This window comes from Homo sapiens, chromosome 21 (genome assembly GCF_000001405.40).
Source record: "Homo sapiens chromosome 21, GRCh38.p14 Primary Assembly".
Classification (NCBI taxonomy): domain Eukaryota; kingdom Metazoa; phylum Chordata; class Mammalia; order Primates; family Hominidae; genus Homo; species Homo sapiens.
This window is the reverse complement of record NC_000021.9, coordinates 34125022-34152455: the sequence shown is the minus strand read 5'-3', so window position 1 is coordinate 34152455 and position 27434 is coordinate 34125022. Positions and strand designations below refer to the sequence as shown.

The window sequence follows — 27434 nt, the reverse complement described above, 5'->3', positions numbered from 1 at the left end:
GTGCAAGAAGTATGGAGAATTCATGGTGGTGGTGGTCTTTTTTTTTTTTTTTTTTTTTGAGACAGAGTCTTGCTCTTGTCGCCCAGGCTGGAGTGCAGTGGCACAATCTCAGCTCACTGCAACCTCTGCCTCCTGGGTATAAGCAATTCTCCTGCCTCAGCCTCCCGAGTAGCTGGGATTACAGATGCCTGCCACCACACCTGGCTAATTTTTGTATTTTTTAGTAGAGACGGGGATTCACCACGTTGGCCAGGCTGGTCTAGAACTCCTGACCTCAGGTGATCAGCCCGCCTTGGCCTCCCAAAGTGCTAGGATTACAGGCAGGAGCCACCGCACCCGGCCTCATGGTAGTGGTCTTAAACCCTCTCCGAACTGCACTTTGTATAGCAAGCATTGCTTTTCTGTTTTCTTAGGTCAGAAAAATGACAAACAATCCAGGAAGGAAATCAGCAAATTATTATGTTTATAAAATATTATAAACAGGCAATTAACAGGGAGAAAAACTCAGAATGACCGTTCCCATGAAAGTTCATGCTTATTAATAATAGAGAAAATATAACTTTAAGAGACACTTGTTGACACTTATTAGACTGGCAAGGCTTTAAAAAACGTAATACCACATAGTGGGAGGTACTTGAAAACAGAAATCTTAAACCTTGCTGATGGGTGTGTAAACTGATGCAATGACTTTGGAGAGAAATTTGTTAATAACGGAGATGAAAATACTGAACAAACCAGTTCTTCCCTTCTCTAGCCAGCAGTTCTTCTCAGTTTGCACACTCACATATATGCGCCAGGAGATAGCTAACTAGCAGTAAGTCCATGGCAGCATTGCTTGAAACTGTCAAATTGGAAATGCCCATGAATAGGCAAGTGGACAAACTGGGATACAGTCACACATGGCATACTATATGACAGGAGAAATCAGTGAACTACGTCAACAAGCATCCACCTGATAGATCTCAAAATGAGTGCTGAAGAAATGAAAAACAAAAGCCTATCACTGAAGCTTGCATACCACGAATAAGAATCCACAAAACAATGAGTTGTAGCTGCATATATATGTATCAAAAATATAAAATATGGATATAAATGATACACACTGACTGATAATGGTTTGGGTCTGTGTCCCTGCCCAAATCTCATGCTGAATTGTAATCTCCAGTGTTGGAGAAGGGGCCTGGTGGGAGGTGACTGGATCATGGGGGCAGTTTCTGGTGGTTTAAGATCATCCCCCTAATTGTTGTCATGGCAATAGTGAGTGTTACTGTGAGATCTGGTTGTTTAAAAATGTATAGCCCCTCCCCACTTTCTCTCTTCCTTCTGCTCCAGCCATGTAAGACACACCTCCTTCCACTTCACCTTCTGCCATGATTGTAAGTTTCCTGAGGCCTCCCCCAAAAGCCGAGCAAATGCCGGCACCACACTTCCCATACAGCCTGCAGAACCATAAGCCAATTAAACTTCTTTTCTTTATAAATTACCCAGTCTTGGGTATTTCTTCATGGCAGTGCAAGAACAGACTATTACACTGACTTTAGATATGGCTACCTCTTGAGGGAAGGAATAGGATAAGAGGGGGTACAAAGGATTTCAACTATACCTAATATTTTCTTTAAAATAAAAGCTCTGAAAGATATATAGCAAAAATACAGTATCTATTAAATCTGAGTGGTAAGTTCCTCAAATTTGTTACATTAACTTGTTATTTTTAGGTATGTTTGGATTTTTTACAAACATAGGTTTCTAGTTTCTCAATCCATGTGCCAGTTTTAGGAAAGGAAAGGGAGTACGAATAGCGCTACAAGGTGAGGACACTCACTGTTACAGCGTCATGCTTGCCAGAACAGAGATTTAACCCCAAAACCATTTGGGTTAACAGAGCGGTTAACAGAGATTTCTTTAGCATTTTACTTAGCCACATTTATAAATAACTTCTTCATATTATTTTTAGATCTGGTAAGATATATGGAAGAGGAACAAGCTTTTAAAACATTTAACTGCTAACTTTATAAAATCAGCGCCTTTAAAATCCCCTGTGATTTTGCTTTGTGAATGACCCTTTGCTGGTGTTTTAAAAGTAATTAAAATGTATTTGGAGAGTATTTGAAAACTCCTGAGCTGTCATGGTGCCTGCAGAGGAGAGTTGCTATACTTACTAATTATCCCTTTCCTTGGCCTCACTAAACCCCATCCAATCTGCCTGTTCCTGAGGCTGGAAGGTAACAGGAGTACTGCATCCAGGCTCTCCTAGTACAGTCTGGCTCTTTCTGGCCACATCACCAAATTCTCTGCCAAGGTACTTTTCTAAGGGCTCCTTTCAAAGAGAAGGCCCCTTGCTCATGCAGATGTCATAGTTGCCTAGTGGACGGGAGATGGTGGAGGATGAAAGTTTGTGTGCATGAGAAGAGGAGGCAGGATGGTGGGAGACAGACAAGACAAGCAGAGTAAGAAAAATGGTGGGAATCAAACTCCCCTTTTTTGCAGGTAAAAGTTGGAGATTTACAGAAAGATGTCAAAAAGACCCTCAGCAGAAAACTAAGCAAAATTCCTGCATCAAATAGAGCCTATTCTTGTTATCTGCAGTAGTTGTGTTCTTTAAAGTTGCCATCAACACTGACTTAGAGAACCCTGAATTATCGCTCCTAGGGGAAATACAGGGTTAGGTTAGCCTTTGGTCACAACGCTTATGTCAACCCATCAATCCGTGAGCTTGTTTTATGTGTGTTTCGTTTTAAAGACGTTTACTACATACTGTTGATTAACATTGAACTCAAGGCCAATGGCACTAGAACTCATGGCTGAACAAGTTTGTCTAACAGGTATCTTCTCCAAAAGGCACATCACAGCCTTCTTGCGCTTAGAACACAGTCCTGCAGCACTACACTTGGGGGCCATTTGAAACAGCAAAAGCACCATGAAAAAGCACACAAATGCAAAAAAAAAAAATGGCACTAAATAGTGAAAAAGACACTTGTTTACAGTATGAGAGCTGGAACAAGAAGGCAGAGTGTTGCTTTGTTCGACAGGGAACAGACTTGTCAAGTGACTCAAATTCTTTGCTACTCTACACATACCCGTTGAATGACTACAAAAGTATCATGGGTATTCATTTTGAGGACATAAATTTTAGCAAGTAAGCAGACTCGCAAATATGGAATCTGCCAATAATGAGCATCCACGATACCAATTAACAGAGCCTGACACCTCTGTCAAAGTGTAATATCCAGTCTTTCACAAATAGGTGCTTAACATTTTGGTATCCGATTAGACAAAGGATGCTACATCCAAGTCACATCATTTAGCTCAATACAAGCTTTATGGAAACTACAGAGTCTCCCACTTATTTGGAATAGAGAGGTCAAGAGTCCATTTTGCATAATCCTTACTTCAGGCATTGTCTGGTGAACAATGCACCCTTGTCTCTTCCACTCACAATGGAACTGTCTCAAGGCAAATTGCTTTCTCTGAGAAATGTGACGATGCTGGTGTTCTGGAAGCAAAGGTTCAGATGCCACACCCAGACACCAGTGCTGCTCCCCTTCAGCAGCCCAGCGGACCTGAATACTTTGGGGATGAAGTTTGGTTCCATGAGTCTTTTGTTAATCTCACTGGGTTGTGGTGGCACTAGGAATGTGCAGGATTATCCAGGTCTTACTGTTGTCACTTTAGAGGTCAATTTTGGGGGTTGTGGTGTAGCTCTCAAAAAACTACCACCAATATGGACTTTTCGTTTCGACATGGTTTTCCTCCTGCGACTAACAGAATGTGTCTTGCCTGTATTTGGCTGTAAGCCATGTCCCTTAAAGCTTCATTTTCAGAGAACAAAAAGAATGCTGGCAATCTGAGCCCAGCAAATGACTGTGCTGACCTCTGGGACTCCTTTGCTGTTTTCTTGTGATTAAAGACAGGCCTATTCTGTTTAGAATGAGATTACTAGTCAGCCCCACAGAATCCAATGGCAGGTTATGAAAACAACAGCTATGCTTATCAGAACATGAAAAGAAGTGTGCAAAGAATAAGCCTCTAAGAAATTATTTTAACCCTTCCCCACCTCCATATCCTACCAACTACCAAGTTCTTTAATCACTGATGGAATAACTCTTCAGCAAACCAGGCAGTAACTCGGTCCAGGGTATTAGAGACCAGGACAGGCTCTTTGAGACCATCTGCTTCACTGGCCACATTTTCCATGTGAGGACACTTAGACCGGGAGAAGAAACTGAACATGGTCAAGGCTGGTGGGTGGAGAGTTCTCTGAGCAGTTCTCCAACCCAAAGTCCTATGATCATTCCACTACTGCATTTTTTCAAGGTGACCAAGAATCCCACAAATCGCCTTGGAAACTTCCCACCATCAACACCATACTTGTCTGTTTCCAGGTGCAGAAAACAGGCCAGGGACTGGCAGGTAGCATCACAAGGCCATTACAGGTGCCGTCATCTCTCTGCGGAGACCTCCTAACGCAAATGGCAGTAGCCCAGACCACAGCAGAGAGAGAATAATTTGTACTTTTCACACGCTCCTACGCACATTTCAAAGCACACACTGTTCAGGAAGGGGTTGCCTGGCGAGCACTCGCCCTCTCTAGTCCACACTGCCCACCTTCTTGTAGACATCTGCACCCCTTGCCTCAGCCCTCTTTGTACTTCTCCATGGCCAATCAGTGGAATTATTTCCTTCCTCACAAATATGCAGGCAGCATGGGGTTACTCAATTAGGAGGCATGTTTTATAGCAAGTTAACATGCACAAGACTCATTCTTGGCTCTTTGTAAAGATCTTTCAAGAAACCCTGAGCAACCTGACTTCCCAATCTTACCTCCAGCCACAAGCCCTGCAACTCTGACATTTCCACCATCCTTCTCACCATCACACTGTAACTTGCCCCCCTCCCAGGGGTTCCCAAAGCTCACCATGCAGTCTCACCACCTCCCCACCTGGCCCCACTCTCATTCCAGGCACTAGTCAATCTAGTTCTCCCCCGTCCCCGCCCCAGTTTCCTAGCACTTGGTTTAAACATTTGTTATTATATTTATTATGGGCTGTGTTTTAGACAGCTGAACAGTCCAACCCCCACGTGTGAGAGCCCTGAGGCCAGAACACTGCCCCTCTGATCTTTGTATCCTGCCCAGAGCAGCACCTGCCATATGTGTACTCTCAAAAGACACCCGTGGAGCAATGTGGAGAGAAATGAGCAGTGGGAATTACAGAGCAGGGAGAATCATGAGAAAAAAATACCTGGTCTCCAGGAGACACCAACATTTTCTGATGTTCTCAGGATTTCTGTTTGAAGACCTGAGATTTAAAACACTCCCAGGCACAGTGGCTCACACCTGTAATCCCAGCACTTTGGGAGGCCGAGGCGGGCGGATCACGAGGTCAGAAGATCGAGACCATCCTGGCTAACACGGTGAAACCCATCTCTACTAAAAATACAAAAAATTAGCTGGGCGTGGTGGCGGGCACCTATAGTCCCAGCTACTCAGGAGGCTGAGGCAGGAGAATGGCATGAACCCGGAAGGTGGAGCTTGCAGTGAGCCGAGATGGCGCCACTGCACTCCAGCCTGGGCGACAGAGCGAGACACCGCCTCAGAAAAAATAAATAAATAAATAAAATAAAAAATAAAACCCTCCCAAGGATCCCCAGCTCCCAGCGCTCCCCTTCTCTGGCAGCGAGGAAGCCTGGGGTCTGGCTCTAGGTGCAGCGTCGGAAGGGCCCAGAGGAGCAGGTCATCCAGAGCCAGCCCCTCGTGGCATAATCAGGACTGCAGGGATTGGCAACATCTACCTCCAGGAGCCTGTAAGCAGGCCAAAATGGGCTCTGGAAAGAGAGACATGACTCCCAACTCCAACTCCTCCTCCTTTTGCGGCCTTGGGGATGTTATCTATTATCCTGTAAGCCTCAGGTGTCTTAAGTCATAAAACAAAAGAATATTTGGCTTAGGGGGCTGTCGGGAGGGTAAAGGAATACCCACATTGAACTCCTGCTGAAAGCACTGTGGGATCCCTCAAGTGGGTGGGGGTACACCAGGGCTCTTCCAGACTCAACTAAAAGCTTGGAAAAGCGGCTCATGTTTTCCGTACTCTCTAATCTTTTAACCGAATACTTCATCTCAATCAACATACATTTGGTCTTTCAGCAAAAATCTACTGGGCTCCATGGTCCTTTGTTGACACTCCATGGTACAGCGCCTGTCTCCCTTCAGATGCTTCATGAACAATCCATGTGAATGGATCCACCATTGTGAATGTCATGGAGCAGCTTCTGTTGGGAGCAGGCCCCCCCCAAAATCTGGCCATAAACTGGCCCCAAAACTGGCCATAAACAAAATATCTGCAGCACTGTAACATGTTCATAATGGCCCTAATGCCCAAGCTGGAAAGTTGTGGGTTTACAGGAATGAGGGAAAGGAACACCTGGCCTGCCCAGGGCGGGGAAACTGCTTAAAGGCATTCTTAAGCCACAAACAATAGCATGAGCGATCTGTGCCTTAAGGACATGCTCCTGCTGCAGTTAACTAACCCAAACTATTCCCTTAATTCGGCCCATCCCTTCGTTTCCCATAAGGGATACTTTTAGTTAATTTAATATCTATAGAAACTTTTAGTTAATTTAGTTAGTTAATTTTAGTTAATTTAATATCTATAGAAACAATGCTAATGACTGCCTTGCTGTTAATAAATACGTGGGTAAATCTCTGTTCGGGGCTCTCAGCTCTGGAGGCTGTGAGACCCCTGATTTCCCACTTCACACCTCTATATTTCTGTGTGTGTGTCTTTAATTCCTCTAGCGCCACTGGGTTAGGGTCTCCCCTATCAAGACCAGCTCGGTAGACTAGCTTCTTGGGCCCCCAGGCTCTCATTTTCAACCTCCCTGGGCCACCTTCAAAAAACAACCCCCTGGCTTGTCACAGGCCTGAACTGTGGCCACTACTTTGGACTTGGGACTGCAGACTCTCAGGACCTCCACTCTCGTAGACTGGAGCCAGCATACTTTCCTCCAGCCAGGGGGCAGGGCCCACTGGCAAAAATAAGCCCTTCCAGACATGCTGGAAGAGGAAAGGGGTGACTCTGAGTGCTGACAGGATCATGAGGATAAATATCACCTATGTCATCAATCCTGAGCACCATATCTTAAATGCCGATGTTCCTCTTAAATTCCTTTCAGAAGTCCAAGTTTCGTATCCTAAAATGCAGCCAGTCAAGCCGAGTATTGGCGAGATCAAACCAAGTACTTCTGGAAGACTGAGCCTGTCCAAAGAGGCCCACGAATAGTCAAGGCTGCAAATCCCAGGAAGATGCCCTTTCCAAGGACATGAGCCCCCCAGGGAGCATCCTGAAGCTGATGCCTCACCCGATGCCAGCCTTCTGCCTTCCATGCGTCATTTCCCATTGGCAACCTCCTATCCCTTTGCGCTTAACTCCTCACAGGTCTCCAGTCTCCCAGATCTGGCCCCTCAGTTCCTTGTGACATCACACGACTGGCTCCTCGCCCTTCAGAGCTCAGCTTGCACGTGCCCTCCCCACTCCATCCTCTGTACTCCCCCCAGCAGCTCCTACACTGTACATACTTTGTCTGCCTCCATGCCAATTCTCAGCTCCACGAGGCCAGGGCCTGTCTTTGTCTATGGCTCTACTGCCAGCACTTTGCCATTATCATCCCCTGAAGGAGGAGACCAGAGCCTCGGACCACCACCAGCCTGGGCAGGGAGACCGGATGCTCTACTCTGACAAATAAGTGGCCTGGAAACCACCCACCTGCACGCCCTGCTCCAACACTAGACATCCCGACGGGCCAGCAGCTGCCAGGGGATGAGGACCCCTCAGTTGCTGAGGATCCAGCTATGCACCAACCACTCACAGGGGAAAGACAGTGGCTTCGTTTTGGAGCTTCCAAGGAGGGGAACTGGCATACTGCACGGCTGCCCTACTTTGCCAGCCTCCTTCCTAATGCTCTCTAAATTGTGCCACAGGATTGCATGACCTGGAATACCCAATGGCGTCTTGTCAGGGACCGGCAAGTGCAGGAAAAGAAAGTGCCAGTGCTACACTCGGGCCATGCGGCCAAATGCCACTAACTGAGTGGTGACAATTCACTCCAGACACCCAAGTGCCTTGTTTAACCTGAGAGGGCAAAGACAACCTTACTGTTACAAGAAGGAAAAAACAGATGGCATCAGGGTCCCTAGTTCAAGATTCCAGCTATCACTGGCAGTTGTGGGGTCAAGGGCAAATCTGAGTGGGGGTTTCCTAGTCCAAGCAACAGGTATAGCAATGCTGCCTTTCCTGGGGCTGCTGAAAGGAGTAACTGAGGGAATGGACATAAGTGTGCAGCATGGCACATGGCGTGCGTTTAATAAACTCCAAGCAAAATGGACCTCAGATCGCACCGAGTCAAAGAACATCAGGACACAAAGTGTCTGCTAGAGAGTTGGTGCTCTCGCGAGCCCTGACCGAGAGCCTGCGCTTTCAGGAAATTCCGAATAAAACAGGAAGTAGCATATTTTCCCAGATAATCTTTACCCCTTTTATTTCCAGTCTACAGTTCTTAATGAGCCTCTTCACTGAATTATTGCTCTTCAGAGAGACTTTTTATAGCTTTTTGCCTCTGGAGGAAGTTAAGCTGGATACCGCCTGAGTTCTTAATAAGCAAGGCGACAACACTGATGACCCAGTGCAGACACAGGCAGCTGCTACAGAGGGAGGAGGCGCTGGGCCAGAGCTGGGAGACCAGGCCCTCCTGGCGCTTTGGGCATCTCTTGCACATCTCTCCATCCTCCGGTCTTGCCATGGTTAAAAACAAAGCAGAGGCCAGAACTCTCGGCTCCTTCCTGCTTTTCAGAGATTCCCAGAACCGGCACTTCCCCCAACATTTTATGTGCAGAAGTTCCGTCATCTGTGATGGTGACAGACACCTTGTGCAGGGCACCCCCTGGGAAGGGGGAAGGGCTAGTCAAGTCTTTCCAATCAGCCCCGAGGAGACCGAGGAAGAGATGCAGGTGACTGTTTTGGGAAACGACCTCATCCTCACCCATCCTGGAAGCCATGCCACTGCCAGGAGGCTACTTCCTACAAGAGGCCTGCCCTGGGATGAGGGACAGTGGAGGAGGCAGGTGCTAGTAGCAAAGGAATGACAGGGAGCAGCATGAGACCTTAACTGCACCAGAACACACGTCCCACCACAAAGAGCAGCACAAACCACAATGACAAGTGAGGTGTGCAGGGAAAAGTCACTGATTTTGTGGCGTGCCCAGTAAGGAACAGACAGACACCCCTCCTCCCCTGCCCCACCCCGGCTCTGGACCTCAGTGGGTACTGGGTAATGCCTCCCCGACACTGCCAGGCACTGCCAGCTAGACTGGAGCTGCGGGGCCCTGGAAGTGCACTGCACTGGGTAAGTAAAGGGACAAAACACCTCCCACATTCCTACAATCAAGTTTATTACTCAAAGCAAAAGTTGTCCATATAATACATTGGTCGTCAATTTTTATTTCCACATGGTTACACAGGCTGAATGACTAGCTCACAATCCCAGGAGGTATTATAAGTTTTGCTCTTCAAAAAATGGTGTTACTGTTGTAAGGGGAAAAGTCCTCAATGACAAAGAAATGACACTAATGAAAACAAAATCAAGAACGATCCACTGGTACTGCAGGTTACAGAGAAGCTGTCAGTGAGCAGTTCCCCACCTCTCGCAAGCAAAGGGGATCAAGGGCTAAAAATACCTTAGAAAAATCAAACAGCACCTGCAACACATGCTTATATAAAGGCCAAACTTGCAAATTCTTCCTTCTCGTCCATGCTGCCCAAATGTGAAGGAATTACATATAAGGCTAAAATCTGGCGAATCTTCTCACTTCTTCCTCTTCTTTGTGGAATATAATTTTTCTGCGAGTGGGACTGGGACAATCCCTTCACATTCTTTTAGTTCCTGGGTCAGAGGGTGTTTGACAATATTCCCTCTAATCACATCTATATCTCGAGACAAGTGCTCCACCATGCTTTCAACAGCTGCGGTGGGTGCATAAAAATCCACCAAGAAATACCTGCAATAAAATAAAAACTTGTGAGTGTCTGCATTTGAATTGTAATAATTCTACTATTTTGGTCAGTGTTTCCATTTTACTCTTCCTAGACAGACATCAACTACACACAAACACACACATACACACACATAACCTTGTCAAAATAGAAACTACCAGCTGACCAGCTAAACAGAATTGCAGTGTTAAGCCCAATCTCCCTTTTTCTATGGTCTTTCCCATTACACTCTTGTGAAAATATGAATCCAAACCAGCTTTATGGCAGCAAAAACACACTGTGACATTACAGATGGTGTGAAGTACTAGAAAGCATGGGGGAAAACTTCTAATCCATTGACGAGACTGAATTTTCCAAACTATTCATTAATGTTGTGTGTGTGTGTGAAAACATCTATTAGATACTCTTCTAACTTTTCAAAGGATTTTCCCTGTGAACTAACACACCTAAGAGAACCATGAGCCCACAAACATGGGAAAAGATTAAGAAAGGCATGGGACTGGTCTACAACTATGTTCAATACGGACAAGGAACAAAAAGAAAATTACTGGAACCTTAAGTAAGAAAAAGAATTTACCACTCATCACTCAAACCAGACTAATGTCGACGGGCATCCCGCACGGCTCACTGGTCTTCAAAGATTGACAAGGTCCTCAGCAGCCTGCTGGCTGACAGTGCAAGGAAAGAGCCCATCCCTACCCACTCCTGGCTCCTCTCAGACCTAAAAGGTTAAGCCTCCCTTGTACTGTCTGATTTGGACCATTATGTGACTAAAGGTCAGTTTTCAGGGCAGTATTTCAAAATCCTGCAATGTTCTAGCTGGTTAAAACTATGAAATTTTCGTCATCGCTTGCCTTGTTCTAGGCATACATGTGGTTCTCAGGACTCCCAAGCACATTCCCCTCCCAGGCCTTTGTACTCGCTGGTCCTTCTGTTGGAAATGTTCTCCGCCCAACTTCCACATAGCTCATCTCTTGCTTCTATCATGTCTCTGTCCAAATGTCACCCTCTCAGAGAGACCTTCTGTGCCCACTCTCCTAAAGCAGCACCCTCCTAGCTCCACCAAGGCCCCTCACTCTCCATTGCCCTCACTCAAGGCTTTGTTTTGTTCCACAAAGTACGTTCTCACCACTGGCACAGTATGCATTTGCTTACTGTCTGCCTCACTCCACTAAAGCACAGTTGCCATAGGAAGAAAGGCTCTGGTGTTAACCCTAGCACTCCGAATAGAGACGAACACGGAGCAGGTCCAGAGTAAATCTTTGACCGTGATGGTGTTAGCATGAAATGTGGAGCTCTCACAGGAAGCTGGGAAGATCAAGTTGAAAAGGAACAAATTCAGCAAGGAAGGAACTTATGAGAAAAGGGATGGCATTTTGTGTAATTCCAGACAAAGGGCAAAGAGGTTCAAAACTTGTAAGTAAATTTACCAAGTGACCATTTACTCTTAAAGCCAAGCCTAGTGGAATAATTATTCAAGTAAACATATAATTAAATAAAAGGACAGAAAAATATATACCAACCAAAAACACTAATCAAAAGCAAGCTCAAGTGGCTACAGTAATATCAGACAAAGCAGACTTCAGAGCAAAGAAAATTACCAGGAATAAAAAGAGACAATACATAATAATGGGTCCACCAAGATGTAACAATCTTAAATATACATGCACCAGATAACCGAGCTTCAACATATAAGAACAGCAGAACTGAACAGAGAAATGGACACATCCAGAATCACAGCTGAAGTCTTTTAACATTCCTCTTTCAGTAATCGATAGAACTACTTATACAGAAAATCACCAAGGATATAGAAAAAGTGAACACCAACATTAACCAAGTGGAGTTAACTGACATTTATAGAACCCTTTACCCAACAATCACAAGACAGACATTCTTCCTAAGTGTACACAGAACATTTACCGAGGCCAACCATATTCTGGGCCATATAACATAAAGGGATTCAAGTTATACACAAAAATCTTCGAAAAATGCCTCAACACTTGGAAACTAAACAGATATCTAAATAAGCTGGACAAACAGGTAGAAGGAGAAATCAAAAGGGCAATTACAAAGTACTTTGAATTGAATGAAAAAGAAAATGCTACAAATCAAAATTTGGGGGATGCCATGAAAGCAATACTTGTCAGGAAATTCATATCTACTGAACACCTAGGTAAGAAAAAAAAAAAGGCCTCGAATCAATAGTCTCAGCTTCTACTTTAAGAAACTAGGAAAAGAGCAAATTAAATCCAGTAAGATGAGAAGAGAGAGAGAGAGGAGAAATCCCCAAAGCAGAAAAAAGAAAAACAGAGAACATCAATGAAACCAAACACTAGTTCATGGAGAAGATTCGTAAAATTGATATGCCTCTATAGCCAGACTGTTGAGTAAAAAGAGGTAAGGGCCTCTATAGCCAGACTGTTGAGTAAAAAGAGGTAAGGTATAAATTAAAGGCACTGGGAATGAGAAAGGTGAAACAACTACAGATTTCATAAATATTAAAATAATAGGAAATATTATAAAAAATTTTTGCAAGGTCAGGCGCTGGGGCTCACACCTGTAATACCAGCACTTTGGGAGGCCTAGACAGGCAGATCAGTTGACACCAGGAGTCTGAGAAAAGCCTGGGCAACATGGTGAAGCCTCATCTCCACAAAAACTACAAAAATTAGCCAGGCATGGTGGTGTGTGCCTGTAGTCCCAGCTACTGGGGAGGCTGAAGTGTGAGGATGACTTGAACCCAGGAGGTCCACGCTGCAGTGAGCCGTGATTGTATCACTGCATTCCAGCCTGGGTGACAGAGCGAGACTCTGTCTCAAAAAAAAGCATTAAATTTAACAACTCAGATGAAATGATCAAATTCCTTGAAAAACACAGACTACCAAACCTCACTCAAGAAGTACAGATAACTTGAATGGCCCTATATCTTATTAACGAAATATGTGTAGTTTAAACCCTTAAGCCCTATATCTTATTAAAGAAGTTTAAAAGCTTCCCACAAAGAATATTACAGGCCCAAATGACTTCACTGGTGAATTACACCAAACATTTAAGGCAAAAATACCAATTTTTTTTTATTATACTTTAAGTTTTAGGGTACATGTGCACAATGTGCAGGTTAGTTACATATGTATACATGTGCCATGCTGGTGTGCTGTACCCATTAACTCGTCATTTAGCATTAGGAATATCTCCTAATGCTATCCCTCCCCCCTCCCCCCACCCCACAACAGTCCCCAGAGTGTGATGTTCCCCTTCCAGTGTCCATGTGTTCTCAATGTTCAATTCCCACCTATGAGTGAGAACATGCGGTGTTTGGTTTTTTGTCCTTGCAACAGTTTACTGAGAATGATGATTTCCAATTTCATCCGTGTCCCTACAAAGGACATGAACTCATCATTTTTATGGCTGCATAGTATTCCATGGTGTATATGTGCCACATTTTCTTAATCCAGTCTATCATTGTTGGACATTTGGGTTGGTTCCAAGTCTTTGCTATTGTGAATAGTGCCGCAATAAACATATGTATGCATGTGTCTTTATAGCAGCATGATTTATAGTCCTTTGGGTATATACCCAGTAATGGGATGGCTGGGTCAAATGGTATTTCCAGTTCTAGATCCCTGAGGAATCGCCACACTGACTTCCACAATGGTTGAACTAGTTTACAGTCCAACCAACAGTGTAAAAGTGTTCCTATTCCTCCACATCCTCTCCAGCACCTGTTGTTTCCTGACTTTTTAATGATTGCCATTCTAACTGGTGTGAGATGGTATGTCATTGTGGTTTTGATTTGCATTTCTCTGATGGCCAGTGATGGTGAGCATTTTTTCATGTGTTTTTTGGCTGCATAAATGTCTTCTTTTGAGAAGTGTCTGTTCATGTCCTTTGCCCACTTTTTGATGGGGTTGTTTTTTTCTTGTAAATTTGTTTGAGTTCATTGTAGATTCTGGATATTAGCCCTTTGTTAGATGAGTAGTTCAAAAATTAATTCAAGATGGATTAAAGACTTAAATGTTAGACCTAAAACCATAAAAACCCTAGAAGAAAACCTAGGCATTACCATTCAGGACACAGGCATGGGCAAGGACTTCACATCTAAAACACCAAAAGCAATGGCAACAAAAGCCAAAATTGACCAATGGGATCTAATTAAACTAAAGAGCTTCTGCACAGCAAAAGAAACTACCATCAGAGTGAACAGGCAACCTACAAAATGGGAGAAAATTTTCGCAACCTACTCATCTGACAAAAATACCAATTCTGATACAAATTCACCGAGAAAAAAGGAAGACACATCTCAATTTGTTCTGTGAAGCCAGCATTACCCTATACCCAAACCAAAGACATTACAAGAAATCAGATGAATGTCCCTCAAGAATACACACTTTAAAATTCTAAACAAAATTTTAGCAAATTCACTACTATCATATATTAAAAAATACAATATACCATGACCAAGCAGGCTTTATCCCAAGAATGCAAGATTGGCTTAACATTTGAAAAAAAATGTAATTCAAATTAAAACATATTAACAAACTAAAAAAGAAACACCATATGATCATTTCAACAAACACAAATGAAAGCATTTAACAAAATCCATAGCCATTCCTGATTAAAAAAAAAAAAATCTCAGCAAACTAGGGATAGAAGTGACCTCCCTCAAACTTATAAAGAGCATCTTTGAAAAATCTACAGCTGACATTTCACCAGCTGGTGAATATCTAAATGTTCTTCCCCTAAGACTGGGAACAAACCAGAAAGTCCACTGTCACTTCTATTCAACACTGAAATGGAGGTTCTAGCCAGTGCAGTAAGGCAAGAAAAAGAATAGGTACCTAGACTGATAAGCAAAAAGTGAGACTGTCTTATTTGCATATGACATGATTGTGTTTTGAGAAAGTATTAAGAAATCTATAAAAAAAATAGAACTAATGAGTTTAGCAGGATTGCAAGATACAAAAATCAATGTTATTTCTATATACTAGTAACAAATAATCAGACCTTGAATTAAACATTCAATACTTGCAGAGAAATCAGACAAAAGGTATGCAAAACTACAAAACGCTGCTGAAAGAAACAAAATCTATCAGGTATATCTTGTTCACGGGTAAGAAGACTCAAAATTTAGATGTCAACCCTCTCCAAGTTAAACAAAAATTGAGATCTATTATTTATTTTACTGAAATAAAATCTATTGACATTCAGTAGAACCTCAATCAAAACCCTAGAATATTGATTAGAAAGTTCATAATGGATCTAAAACAGCCAAAACAACTCTGATAGAGAATGTAAGTTGAAGGACTAACACCACCTGATTTCAAGACTTATTATAAAGCTATGGCCATCAAGACAGTATGATATTCATGTACAGATACACAGAGAGATCAAAAGACTAGAATGGAGTACAAAAATAGAGATTTACAACAAATGGTGCTAAAATAATCCAGTATCCACACGCAAAAAAACCGAACTTTCTTCCCTACTTGTACCATTTAAAAAATTAACTCAAAATGGGACAGATTTAAATGTAAAATATAAAGCTATAAAACTTAGAAGCTTTTGTAAATTTGGATTAAGCAAAGTTTCCTTAGACACAACACCAAAACCAAAATCCATAATAGAAAAAATTGATAAATTAGATTTCATCAAAATTAAAAACTGCTCTTTGAATAAAAAGCCACTAAGATTTGCGAATTAGAAGTCTGATAAAGGACTTGTATCTAGAATACAAATAACTCTCAAAACTTAATTTAAAAAAACTTTTAAACAATGGTCATAAGATTTGAACAGACATTTCACAGAAGACATACGATGGCAAAGCAGCACATGAAAAGATGCCTAAAGCCATTAGTCATGAGAGAAATGCAAATTAAAACCACAAAGAGATACCTACTAAAGTGCCATAAAATTAAAAAGGCTGACCACACCAAGTGTTGGCAGGGATGTAAGAAAAACTAGCATTCCATGGATGTGGTGGCTCACGCCTGTAATCCCAGCACTTTGGGAGGCCGAAGCAGGCAGATCACCTGAAGTCAGGAGTTCGAGACCATCCTGACCAACATGGTGAAACCCTACCTCTACCAAAAATACAAAAATTAGCCAGGCATGGTGGCACGTGCCTGTAATCCCAGCTACTTGGGAGGCTGAAGCAGGGGAATTGCTGGAACCTGGGAGGCGGAGGTTGCAGTGAGCAGAGATCGTGCCATTGCACTCCAGCCTGGGTGGCAGAGCAAGACTCCGTCTCAAAAAAAAAAAGAAAAAAGAAAAGAAAAACTGGCACTCCAGGGTGGCACGAGGTCCACGCCAAGTAACAGAGACACTCGGGCTGTGCCCTCTGGATGACCGAGTGGGAGACAGCACCAGCAGTGGTAGAGACCCCTGACACCAAGCTCTTTGGGAAGTGGACGCTGTGCAGATCAATGATGCAGCACAAATGATGATATGCAGATCAGTGACATTTCCCTGCAGGATTCCATTGCAGTGAAGGAGAAGTATGCCAAGTACCTGCCTCACAATGCAGGGCCTTATGCTGCCAAACGCTTCTGCAAAGCTCAGTGCCCCATTGTGGAGTCCCTCACTAACTCCATGATAATGCATGGCCACAACAACAGCAAGAAGCTCATGACTGTGCGCATCATCAAGTATGCCTTCCATTTCATCCACCTGCTCACAGGCGAGAACCCTCACCTCCAGGTCCTGGTGAACACCATCATCAATGGTGGTCCCCAGGAGGACTCCACAGGCTTTGGGTGAGCAGGGACTGTGAGATGACAGGCTGTGGACGTGTCCCCACTGCACCATGTGAATCAGACCACCTGGTTGCTGTGCACAGGCACTCTTGAGGGTGCCCTCCGGGAGATCATGACCATTGCTGAGTGCCTGGCAGATGAGCTCATCACTGCCACCAAGGGCTCCTCCAACTCCTTTGCCATCAAGAAGAAGGATGAGCTGGCATGTGTGGCCAAGTCCAACCGCTGATTTTCCCAGCTGATGCCCAATAAACCAGTCTGCCCTTTGGGGTAACCCCACGCCACCACAAAAAAAAAAAAAAAAAAAAAAAAAACCGGCTCTCATATACATTGCTGGTATAGTTTGGCACTTTCCTAAACATACACCTACAGTTATGATCTAGCCATTCCACTGCTAGGTATTTACCCCAAAGAAATTAAAGCATGTGTCCACACAACAACTTGTACACAAATGTTCACAGCAGCTGTACCTATAACAACCCCAAACTGGAAAAAAACAAATATTCACTACATACAATGCCATACTACTCAGCAATGAAAAGGAGTGAACTATTGATACACACTATTGATCTCAAAATAATTATGCTGAGTGAAAGAAACTAGAGTAAAAGGGGTCCAATACCATCCAATTCTATGTAAGTCTAAAAAAAAAGATGTTCCTCAACTTACAATATACGCATTTCGATAAACCCGTAAATTGAAAATATTTTATGTTGAAAACGCATTTAATACACCACCTAACCTAACATCACTTAGCCAAATGCCCAGAACGCTTAGCCTACAGTTGTGTAAAATCATCTAACACAAACCCTATTTTACATTAAGTGTTGAATAGCTCATGTAATTTTACGGAATACTTTACTGAGAGTGAAAAACAGACTGGTTGTTTGGGTATTTGAGTACGGCTTCTACTGCATCTGCAATCACTTCTGCACCATCATAAAGTCGAAAAAAATCGACAGTGAAAGAAAAAAGATCAGTGGTTGCTTGGGATGAAGGACAAGTAGAGGAAGGAATCGAAGGAGGAGGAGGAAATTTTAGGGGTGACAAATATGTTTATTATCTTGACCGTGGTGATTCTGTGAGTGTATACATATGTCAAACCTTATTAAATTATACACTTTAAATATATGCAGTTTATTACATGCTAATCATCGCTATAAAGCTGATGATTTTAAAATGGCAGTTTAGAAGCTGAATGGGCAGGACTTGGTCAATGAGCTGATGTGGGATGGAGGCAACAGGGAGCAATTACAGCTGATGAAGACTCCCAGGGTTCCTTAAGCAACGAAATAAAAACGGTACAAACGAATCCACTATTCCACAAACTTCTTGAAGCAGTGACTTGCACATTTGCTCACTGACAAGACTGCCACTTGGGCTCACTCTGAAAACTACACATAATCCTGGCCACATTTTCCAAGGTTTAATTCCACTTGCTTATTTCTACTCCATATAGCAGGTAATAGGGTTGCAATGACCCAACTTATGAATTACTCATTTATTCAAGATTTAATTATTGATTACTTACTTTGAGTTAGGCTCTGGAACAGAGCTTAAAATAGTGTGATCAACCTCAAATCACCACCTCCTTGCAACCCTCAGCCTTTTACCCAGTCACTCCCCTTGCCCCACAATAATTCCATTTGGCCACCTGGTGGGCAGTACAGGGAACTCTCACCCAACAGGGGCCCAATGCTTTTTTCCTTCCCATTTATCCATTTGCTCTTTCACTCACTATTCATCAAAATGTCCTTCCAATCTACCACGGACAAGTTATGACCTCACCCTGTCTGCCAACATTCCCAACACACTGAAGTCTATAGCAGGTAGTTTTTCTCTGAGCTCCCGCCTCTTCCTTGGCCTTGTCCAGTTTCCCTAGAAGCCTTCCTCTCTTGCTTCATTCCATTTGAAGCCCTGTGCTTAGAGTAATGTGCTGCTGAAATGCCATGCATCAGGAGGGAGGCTCTAGCAAGAGCATGACATGCTCTGGCCATCAAGTAACCCAGACACCACCACTGCCGAGTGCTCCATGCCCCTCCCTCCAGAGAGTCCACAGGAAGTCCAAGCCTGCCCTTCCTTACAGTCAAGTATTCAACTTATTCAAATAGCACCTCTGGGGCTGTCTTGGTCTTACTTATGATATTGTTCATAGCAAGCACTGCTTTCTTCCATTTTCCATTCAACTGCTTCACAGGGTTAGAAGCTTGTGAGCTAGCCTAGGAGTCTCAACATGTTCTAAGAGAAAGTGTGTTTACAGATGCCAACAACCAACTCAACTGCCCACTAATCAATTCTCATCCAGCCCTCCTGAAAGTGTTCTCCATATACTCAGCACTCACTCAATAATCCTAAGAAATACACCCAAAGCTTTTGGATTCTATGATGTGATAAGGGTAAAAAGAATACCCAAGGATGGAAACAGGAAGCCAGATATATCAGAAACCTCATATTTCTGAACTTAAAAAAGAAGTGTCTTTCATAAGACTCTAATTTTCAAAGTACTTTCACAGCTTTCAGACAACTTTTGAGGAAGAGGATGAAAGAGAAGTGGCAGCTCCACTCCGTGTGGCAATTGAGGAAAGGGAAGAAGAGAAAGTGGTGCCGAGTGTTGGTTGGGGTCCAGCAGCCCTCTCCCCAGCAACAATACTCCTCTAGGAGTCTTCAAAGTGGTTTCCTACACGTTGCCTCCTTTGAGTCGTACAATTTAATGTAGTTAAGAAGAGAGACTCAAAAAGGTTAAGTCATTAGCCCAAGGTCACTCAGCTATGAAGTGGTCACTGCCAGGATTCAAACAGAGCAGGTCTTTTGACTCCAGGACACAAGAAACCACAGATAGCTTTGGGACCAAATGGGTTACAGAATCATAGACTGGAAGTGCTGGAAAGGACCATAAAGACAACGCAGCCTAAACCTTTCACATGAGCAAACTGAAGCCCAGAGGGGAACTGATAGGCCCCAGGTCACAAAGTGAGAGTCAAGCTCCGGACTCCAGACCCCACAGCTCCCCACTCTGTATACTGTATCTCTTGCTACCTAGTACCCACATGTTGGAGGATTCTCAAGGATAAAGAGAAAACCTAGTTAAAGACCTGGAAATCCTAACACTGGGCTTTCCTAGCTTCGGGAGGCTCCCTGTTGCTACCAAAACCCCTCTCTTGCCTTCACCCTCCTAACTGCTCTGACTTCCTGCCACCAGGCATGACAACGCTCCTTCAGCAACCAACTAAACGAGCACAAGCCGGCATGCACAGCTGGTGACTGGCATCTCATGCTTGTCGTCCTGCTGCTATGCGCCCGGGGCTGATGTGGGCAAAGACTGCTTCCACTCCCATGGCTCCCTATTACACCGTGGAAGTTTCCACAGAAAGAAAACGCTACCAAAACAGCGAAGGTGAGAAGTGACTCCGAGACAGGCAGACCTTACTGTATTCGCCACTCTCCGAAGTTGAACCTCTTACCAACCCCCTCCCGACCTCTTCTCCCAGGGAACCAAGATGTCTCTCCCAGGCCACAAGAGAACTGACCAGAAGTCCAGGATAAAGTCAATCTCTGCCTGCTTCAGTGACCCAAGTACACAGATAAATGGTCCATTATGGTTTTCCCACACAGGAATGACCTTCACCAATTCCTGGTTGCTTCCAGTACATATCCTTTTCTTCTTACCTATTCATCTGGGCAAACTTAACTTGTTAATGAGCATCTACTACAGACAAACCTCAGGAGGTTAAATGGATGAGGCACACATGGTCTCATCCTCCTGGAATATGCAGCCCAGCTGGGCAGAGAGGCTGTACGAGCTGCTGCATGAGCAGAAACCCAGGCTTCCACCGCAGTCCTGTGGGAGACTGTCCATGACAGGCAAGGACCCCTGACTCACTGCTGGGCTTTGCTAACTACAGATGACCTAAGGACTGAGAATGAGACTTTTTACAGCTATGACAACACCAAGTACAGTCCCGCATTTCTATTTTTACACATGAAGAAAGTCAGGCCTAGAAACAACCTGTGTGGGGTGGTGGGGCTGGGTGGCTTTTGATGCCTGCGAGGATCCCTTTCTCATGACAGCACAGGTCCACAAGAGACCTACAAAAATGGGAGTTAGGCTGAAAAAATGGCCTTGGAACTAACTCCCTTGATGCCCGCTCCCTGCATCCTCATGAAGGTTGCCATGGAGAAACCATTCTAACAATCAGAGGAGCTGCTGTTCAAGGGAAGGTGACCAGAAAAGGGGCTCAGTGTCTCCAGGGGAGTTAGAGCCCTCTGCCCCAACTTCCTCCTGACCCTGGGAAAAGAGAGAATCAAGAGGACTCCACAACCACAATGAGCTATCAGTGTCTGCTTCTTCCCCAGCCAAACTAGGCAGAATCAAAACACAAGACCAGAAGTCCTAACGCACGTGGACTCACGATCAACTCCTCACTCAAGGCACAAACGTCTGGATTTGACTACATTGCAACTGACTAGACATGCCCCAAAGCTGACATTCTTACTTAACAAAAGCTCTCCAAATAGCTAGTTTTCCATTTTCCACTTCTACTCTTGGTGATTGAATCAATAAGTACACAGCTCATTTTGGGAAAACAGTCTAAAATCTAATTACGTTACACATTCCCAGCACCTTCGACCATGTGCTACATGGCACAAGTGACATGGTTCCGCCTACCAGGTAGCCAGGGTCCATGCAAGCACCAACATTGCCTTGAACACAAAGCCGAGCAGTGTTTACATTTTAAAGGTTTGTTTTTACATGTGTGGTGCTAATTATAGAATCACCACTTCTATGAAGTTGCTATCAGCTTCACAAAAGCATCTCTCTTTTCTATAGAAAAGCACGTAACTTTGACCCACACTAACTCTGCAGAAGTGGAAGTGAGGAGATGACTGATGCCAGGCAAGAAGTAACCAAGAAAGGTTCAGGACACTAATGCATTTCTCACTGCAGATAACAGTGTTTGAAAGCTGGAGCAATAGTGAACTTCTTCCTAGGTAGAACTTGCCCACGTGATCTTCCAGGTGATAATGTGCCCTCCTTTATATTTCTTAAGACACTCACATGCTACAAAACTCTCTACTACATGGCCCAAACCCTCTAGAGATCTGAAAACACTCAGAGAAATGGCTTCCCCAAGACAGACTGTGCCCCAATACTGGAAAACAATGCCACCAAAAACACTCCATTCACAGCAGCATGGTTGTAAGAGAGCCAGCAGCTCTCATGTCCCTTCTGCCCCTCCCCTGGAGAGGCCTAGCCCCTCCACCATTCAGTCACCATGCAGACTGCCCGGTGCTGCCAGCCCTTCCCCGACTCCCCTAGTTGTCCAGGGGGAAAACTGTATTTTCTGACAGTGCCCTTAAATGTAAAGGTTGTATTTTCTTTATTCACTTTTGTCTTAACCCTGTATTTACAAGTTTTCCATAAAAAGAGCTTGCTTGAATTTGAGTTACATTCTTTGTCTCTCTCTCACCCTCCCCTTCTCCCTAGCAGACAAGTGGAAATTTCCACTGAAGCACTCAGTGGCTCACAGTGGGTGGGGGGATGGGGGAGGGGGATGGGAGGGCTTTGCAGCCCTGAAGCATCCTTGAGCCTTTTTGAAGATAGGAAACAGATCTGTCTAAATGCCAGTTCCTAGACCGTCTCAGTTAAACCTTGTTGCATTCAGGCTTCACCGAGGCAGTGAATTATTCACCTTCAAACTGAGGTACCCTCTGCATGGAAAAGCCCCATTTCTTTTTATATCTGTTGGGTCTCATACATTTTCAAAACCACTAACACTAAACCTGCTGCAGAATCCTTACAAATCTTGGGGCACTGCCACTAAAAAGAAACCTCCAAGGCCACAGCAGCCCTGTCTGAAAACCTGGTGTGGAGTACCTACACACGAGAACGGGGTCAGAACACTGGCAGAAAGGCACGAGAACATGGAAATGTTAGCTAACGGGAAAACTACAGAGGAGAATCAATCTCCTCTAGAGAGGGTGCCAGTGCTCATGGAGTAAGCTGCAGACACATTTGGGAAGCGAGTCAGTAAAATTCCACTGATTCACCATGGAGCTGGTTATTTTTATCATTCTGCTTACCCGTAAATAGAAGGGCATCTTATATGTAGGCCAGCAGATCTCTGCTATAAGCACCTATCCAAATTTTAAAGCAGATGAGAACAGGCAAAGAACGGGCAAAACAGGCAAGAAAAACACCTTCTACTTAAGAGTTCTTATACACAGGCATTTGGAAGCCAGCCCAATCTCACTGCCATAAAATCAGACCCGGTAGAAACAGAGCAGAGGCATCCTTTTACAAAGCAGCACAAGCCCAACGCTGAAATACGACCGCACTTTTTGTATAGTTTCCTCTCAGTCTCAGCTCAGCCCCATCTAGTGGAAAGAGAACCGAGAACCATAAGCTCCGTGCAGCCCTGGAGTGAGTGACGTGGTTCTGGCAAAGGGTGACTGTTACTATCATTCAGTAAGATGCCTGCCCCTTTATAGCACGGGTCTAAATGAGCCTCTCCTGTCATTGCTCCCTCTAACATAAATGACATCTTCCCCTTCCAAACGCCCAGGAATACAGTAAGAATTTTCCACACCAACACCTTGTCTGTCCCGCAGAGCAGATGAGGGTGTCAGGGTGAGCACGTGCAGACACAAAGGGGAGGTAATCTCGGGGACCTGAAAGAGACCCCAGCAAATCCAGAGCTGGGAGTGACTCCCAGGCCTCTGAGCCACCCAGCTCCAGGTCATGCACCAATGATTTATTTAGTGTTAACAAGTTAGAGGGCTGAGATATTGTCCCAATCCCTGATAAGGGTGGCCCAATCCAGGCCCCATTCTGCTGCCAAGGGGAACACTGAATTGCATTTTCAAAAACAGGTTTAAAATGGTCCTCAGCTGAACACGCATGACTCCCCCAGTTCTACTGACCTTCAGAGATTATGAATTAAGAAAATCTCTGTGGACTAGTCTGGGAACTTAACCATCAAGTTGTTCCACTGGGAAAATAAGTTCTCAGTTATAAACAACAGACTTACAGGCAAATTTCTGGAACACAACCTGTTTCTAAAGTGGAGTCTGACCAAACTAATATTTGAAATATAATGACTATATTTTTATTTTTGGCATAAACTGGAAACAGTCTTGATATAATAATAAACATCAGGTATCATTTCCAAAGTATACTCTCCTCCTCCTCTGGGCAGATTTCCCAGATAACCCTAAAGCAACAGGCTCTCCCTTACCTACTCTTTTCTTCCAGCCTACTGGGCATGTACGTGATAAGGCGGTTGATTTGGGGGGCGGAGGGGGCTGGGCATGGGAGAACAGTAGAGGCAATTGCCCAATACACAGTGAAGTCATTGGAACAGAGATACCTACCCGTCAGCCCCAGGCTTAGCTTTACTCCTGCTGTGCTGGGCACTTTCACACACACTCCCTCAGCCGGTGCCTAGGTTAGCATTATGCAGCCAACTCTCTGATTAGACTGAAAACTCCTTGAGACCAGGAACCACGACAATTGTGAGAATCAACCTGAGACCTGTGGACACCACTAGGACATACCATTTCTCCCCACAAAACGTAAAAGCAACAAACACACGATACCAACAGTACCATGATAGAATGTGGACTCTCAGAAACATCTAGGCTCACTCCATTAGCCAGCCAAAAGCTGGCTCTCGCACACCACTGTCAGGTTTCAAATCAGCGCCTTGCCGTAATTTCGGATACGTGTCATAGCCTCTAGGGCTGTTCAAAAAGAGCCAAAACTTTGAATGCTAAACGTGTAACCAATAAAACCACTGTTTCTTCTCAACCACTTCAGAAAAGCAAGTCTCCCAGTACATAATCCACTTATTACATGTTTCTAACACTTTCTGTGGCTATGGATTAATGCACATAAAGAATTTGCCAAATGAACAAAATACCTGGTACTGCCATGGTTAGGGTTAGTGATTATGGGGCCACTGCCTGAAGCCAAGAGAATATCAGACTAACCTTAAGCTCCACACTGCAGACACATAAACGTTATCGCCCAATTCCAAATCTTTATTCGGGTAACTTCAAACTACACTTGCCTCTCACATCCTCATTTCCCAAAAGTCACTGTGGAGAATGTTCACGAGTATTATAGAAATAAAATGTAGCATAATCAAATACAGTGAATTAATGAACGGATCTTACTGAAGGGCTTCTCATCATTTATGTGCCAATGTGCACTGTGAACCTCTAGAAGGAATTCGATCATGTAAGGCTTCCCACATCTAATTGATCACACACACCCTACTTCTCCTTTTTTGATGGAGCATCTCTACGGAATTAGCGTTTCAGAGACCACACTTTAAAAAACATTACCTTTAACAAATAAATACCAGACACTGATTTATCCCAGAAAATAGGCTTAAAGCATGAACCTCCCCCACTGCAGCTGGGCACTACCTTTCTGTGTCTATATATAATACACATATGTAATACAGAACACTGCTTCTGTTTGTTGAGGAGTCTGAAAGTAAAAGAACCAGCAATAAAATCTTTAAAAGTCAATGAACTAAGTGACTGCAACATATTCCTCAGCGAGGCACATGCACCTTTGCCAGGGGGGAACCCAGAAGTAGGGCTAGTGTTCTCAGCAGTTCTGGCTTGGTCCCAGTGGGCTCCTCCAGGACCTGAATTTATTCCACCCATAAAGAGAAACGGCTACCCACCCCCAACCCCCACCACTGCACACAGAGGTCTGAAAATGAACTGAGTGAACACAGCAGTTCTTGAGCCTGGTCCTCAGACAAGTGACGTCAGCATTACTCAGGCTACGTGTTAGTGCAGATCCTAGGATGCTGGTCATGCCAACTCTCAACAAAGTCAAATCCTCTACTTGAAAAAAGGGCAGAAACCCCTGGAAGTACTACATGAGTGGAGAAACTGACTTCTTCACTGCCTTCCATCCAAGAACTGCGCTAATGACTCTCGGACAGTTTTTATATGCTCCTCTTTCAACAAAAAAGGCAAAAGGATCCATAACTGCGCTGTTAAAACCACACCCATTTGTGATTAAGTTTAAAAGAAACAGACAGACAGACACACATGCTCTCCATCCCTCATTGTTATTATGACTGTGGAAGAAGCCTAGCCACTGTGCATTTCCTGTTGCCTAGCAACGCCTCAGGCATTCTCTTCAGAGGTGTTCTCAAGAAGCTGAACACTAGCACAAAACAAGGTGAAGCAATCAAAAGATGAAATTTGCAGCACGGCAGAAGGTTTAAATGCAGTAAGAAAGCCTCGATGTGAGACGCGACTCCACTCAGGCCCTATCACACGTACTGTACCTGCACAAGACAGCTCGACTCACATAACTACAAGCAGCATTCTCGTCGCAGAGCACATCTGCAGAGACTGTCTTGCTGGGTCCTTGTGGCAATGCAGATGGGAGACCCATAACCTGAGTTCTGTGCCCAAAGAAGCCAGAAACAGAAGGGGAGGCCACAGAGTTGCTGAGTGCCAGAGAGAGCTGACTCTTCTACTCTTGGACTTTTCCTACCGCGCTAAAACCTGATTCCCATCTTCTCTAACACCCACTCCTAGGAAATCCTACAACATGAGAAGATTCAAATCTATTCTACAAATTGTTCTCCAAGAACTTCTACAAAGATAGTTATTACTACAGAATCAAATCTGTGACATGTATTTGAGGAAGCTGCTGTACACAGTAGGAGACAAAATTCCAAACTGTGATCATTACTTGGAGTAGGTATTACCATTTTTCTTTTGTTGATTAGGCTTAGGTTACATACATCAGTCAAAAGCAGCATGTTCTGTTATTTGCAACGCATATGTTTAAAACTGATACACTATGTTTGTGGACAGCACTGTTCACTAAGGTATTTTAAAGGCAAAAGTTAAAGAAATGTCAGGGAAAACAGTGCTAAGGTTGACAGGAAAAGGTTCCACAAGCTAGACTTGGTAAGCCCTTTGCTCCTAGGATGGCCTAGTTTTGAACTCAGATCATAGTCCACGAAGGGCCAGCATATCACATCCCATCTGCAACACAAGACTGCCAGAGTGTGTACCCAAAGGACACCTAGGCGCAACAGGGGTCTCAATGTGAAATTTTAAGAACTTCTAATAGTAATTGAACAGTACTCTTTACTGAGCCTATCAAAAACGTCTTTCAAGACTTCATGAAGAAACTTACCCGCCTCTGTTGTGCTGCTGACTGTGGGCAGAGATCCTATAAGGAAGCGCTCGTTCACCCAGGTTTTCCAAGTCCCTCACTATTGCTCCTCTGTCCATCAGGGCCTCTATCGTACGTTTCAAAGTAGCAGCAGTCTCTGGCTGTTTTTGTTTGTGTTTTTAAAGAAAAGAAAAAAAAGCATCAGAATTAATATAAGAGCTAGAATGATTAAGTCTGCTCAGTTCCAATCATAACAGCTCTACTGGTAGGAATCGCTGGGTAAAAGCAACAGAAGCTGGTTTTGGTTAACTTAAAATAAAAGAGAGAGAGAATTTATTGTAAGGATATGAGATAGCTCACAGATACGAGGAATATCTGAAGAACCAGGCTTCGGAGAGTTCAGGGACCAGGGCAGCTCCAGGGATCTGGGAGGCAGGAACTAATGAGTGGCTTCTTCAGAGCACCTCGGCCAGGCTGAAT

At 44.1% G+C, this 27434-nt stretch overlaps 1 protein-coding gene and 1 pseudogene across 1 annotated transcript in view, besides 1 other annotated feature; one reads left to right on the top strand and one right to left on the bottom strand.

Annotated features, from left to right (window-relative positions):
• Positions 1–9425: 9425 nt before the first annotated feature.
• Positions 9426–27434, bottom strand: part of MRPS6 (mitochondrial ribosomal protein S6) — a 69453-nt gene continuing 51444 nt past the window's right edge. Inside the window, exons 2-3 of the mRNA NM_032476.4 lie at positions 26976–27115; positions 9426–10048 (exon numbers count right to left, since the gene is read on the bottom strand). Coding sequence (NP_115865.1) covers positions 9856–10048; positions 26976–27115 — 333 coding nt within the window. The 3' untranslated portion in view covers positions 9426–9855. The remainder of the gene's footprint in view (positions 10049–26975; positions 27116–27434) is intronic.
• On the top strand, positions 16328–17079 carry RPS5P2 (RPS5 pseudogene 2; annotated as a pseudogene).
• Positions 22266–22810: an enhancer, noted in NCBI's record as "H3K27ac hESC enhancer chr21:35501946-35502490 (GRCh37/hg19 assembly coordinates)". NCBI's record gives its function as "activates a minimal SCP1, AML or CMV promoter by ChIP-STARR-seq in primed H9 embryonic stem cells {active_cell/tissue: H9 hESC(primed)}" and the evidence as "EXISTENCE:reporter gene assay evidence [ECO:0000049][PMID:30033119]".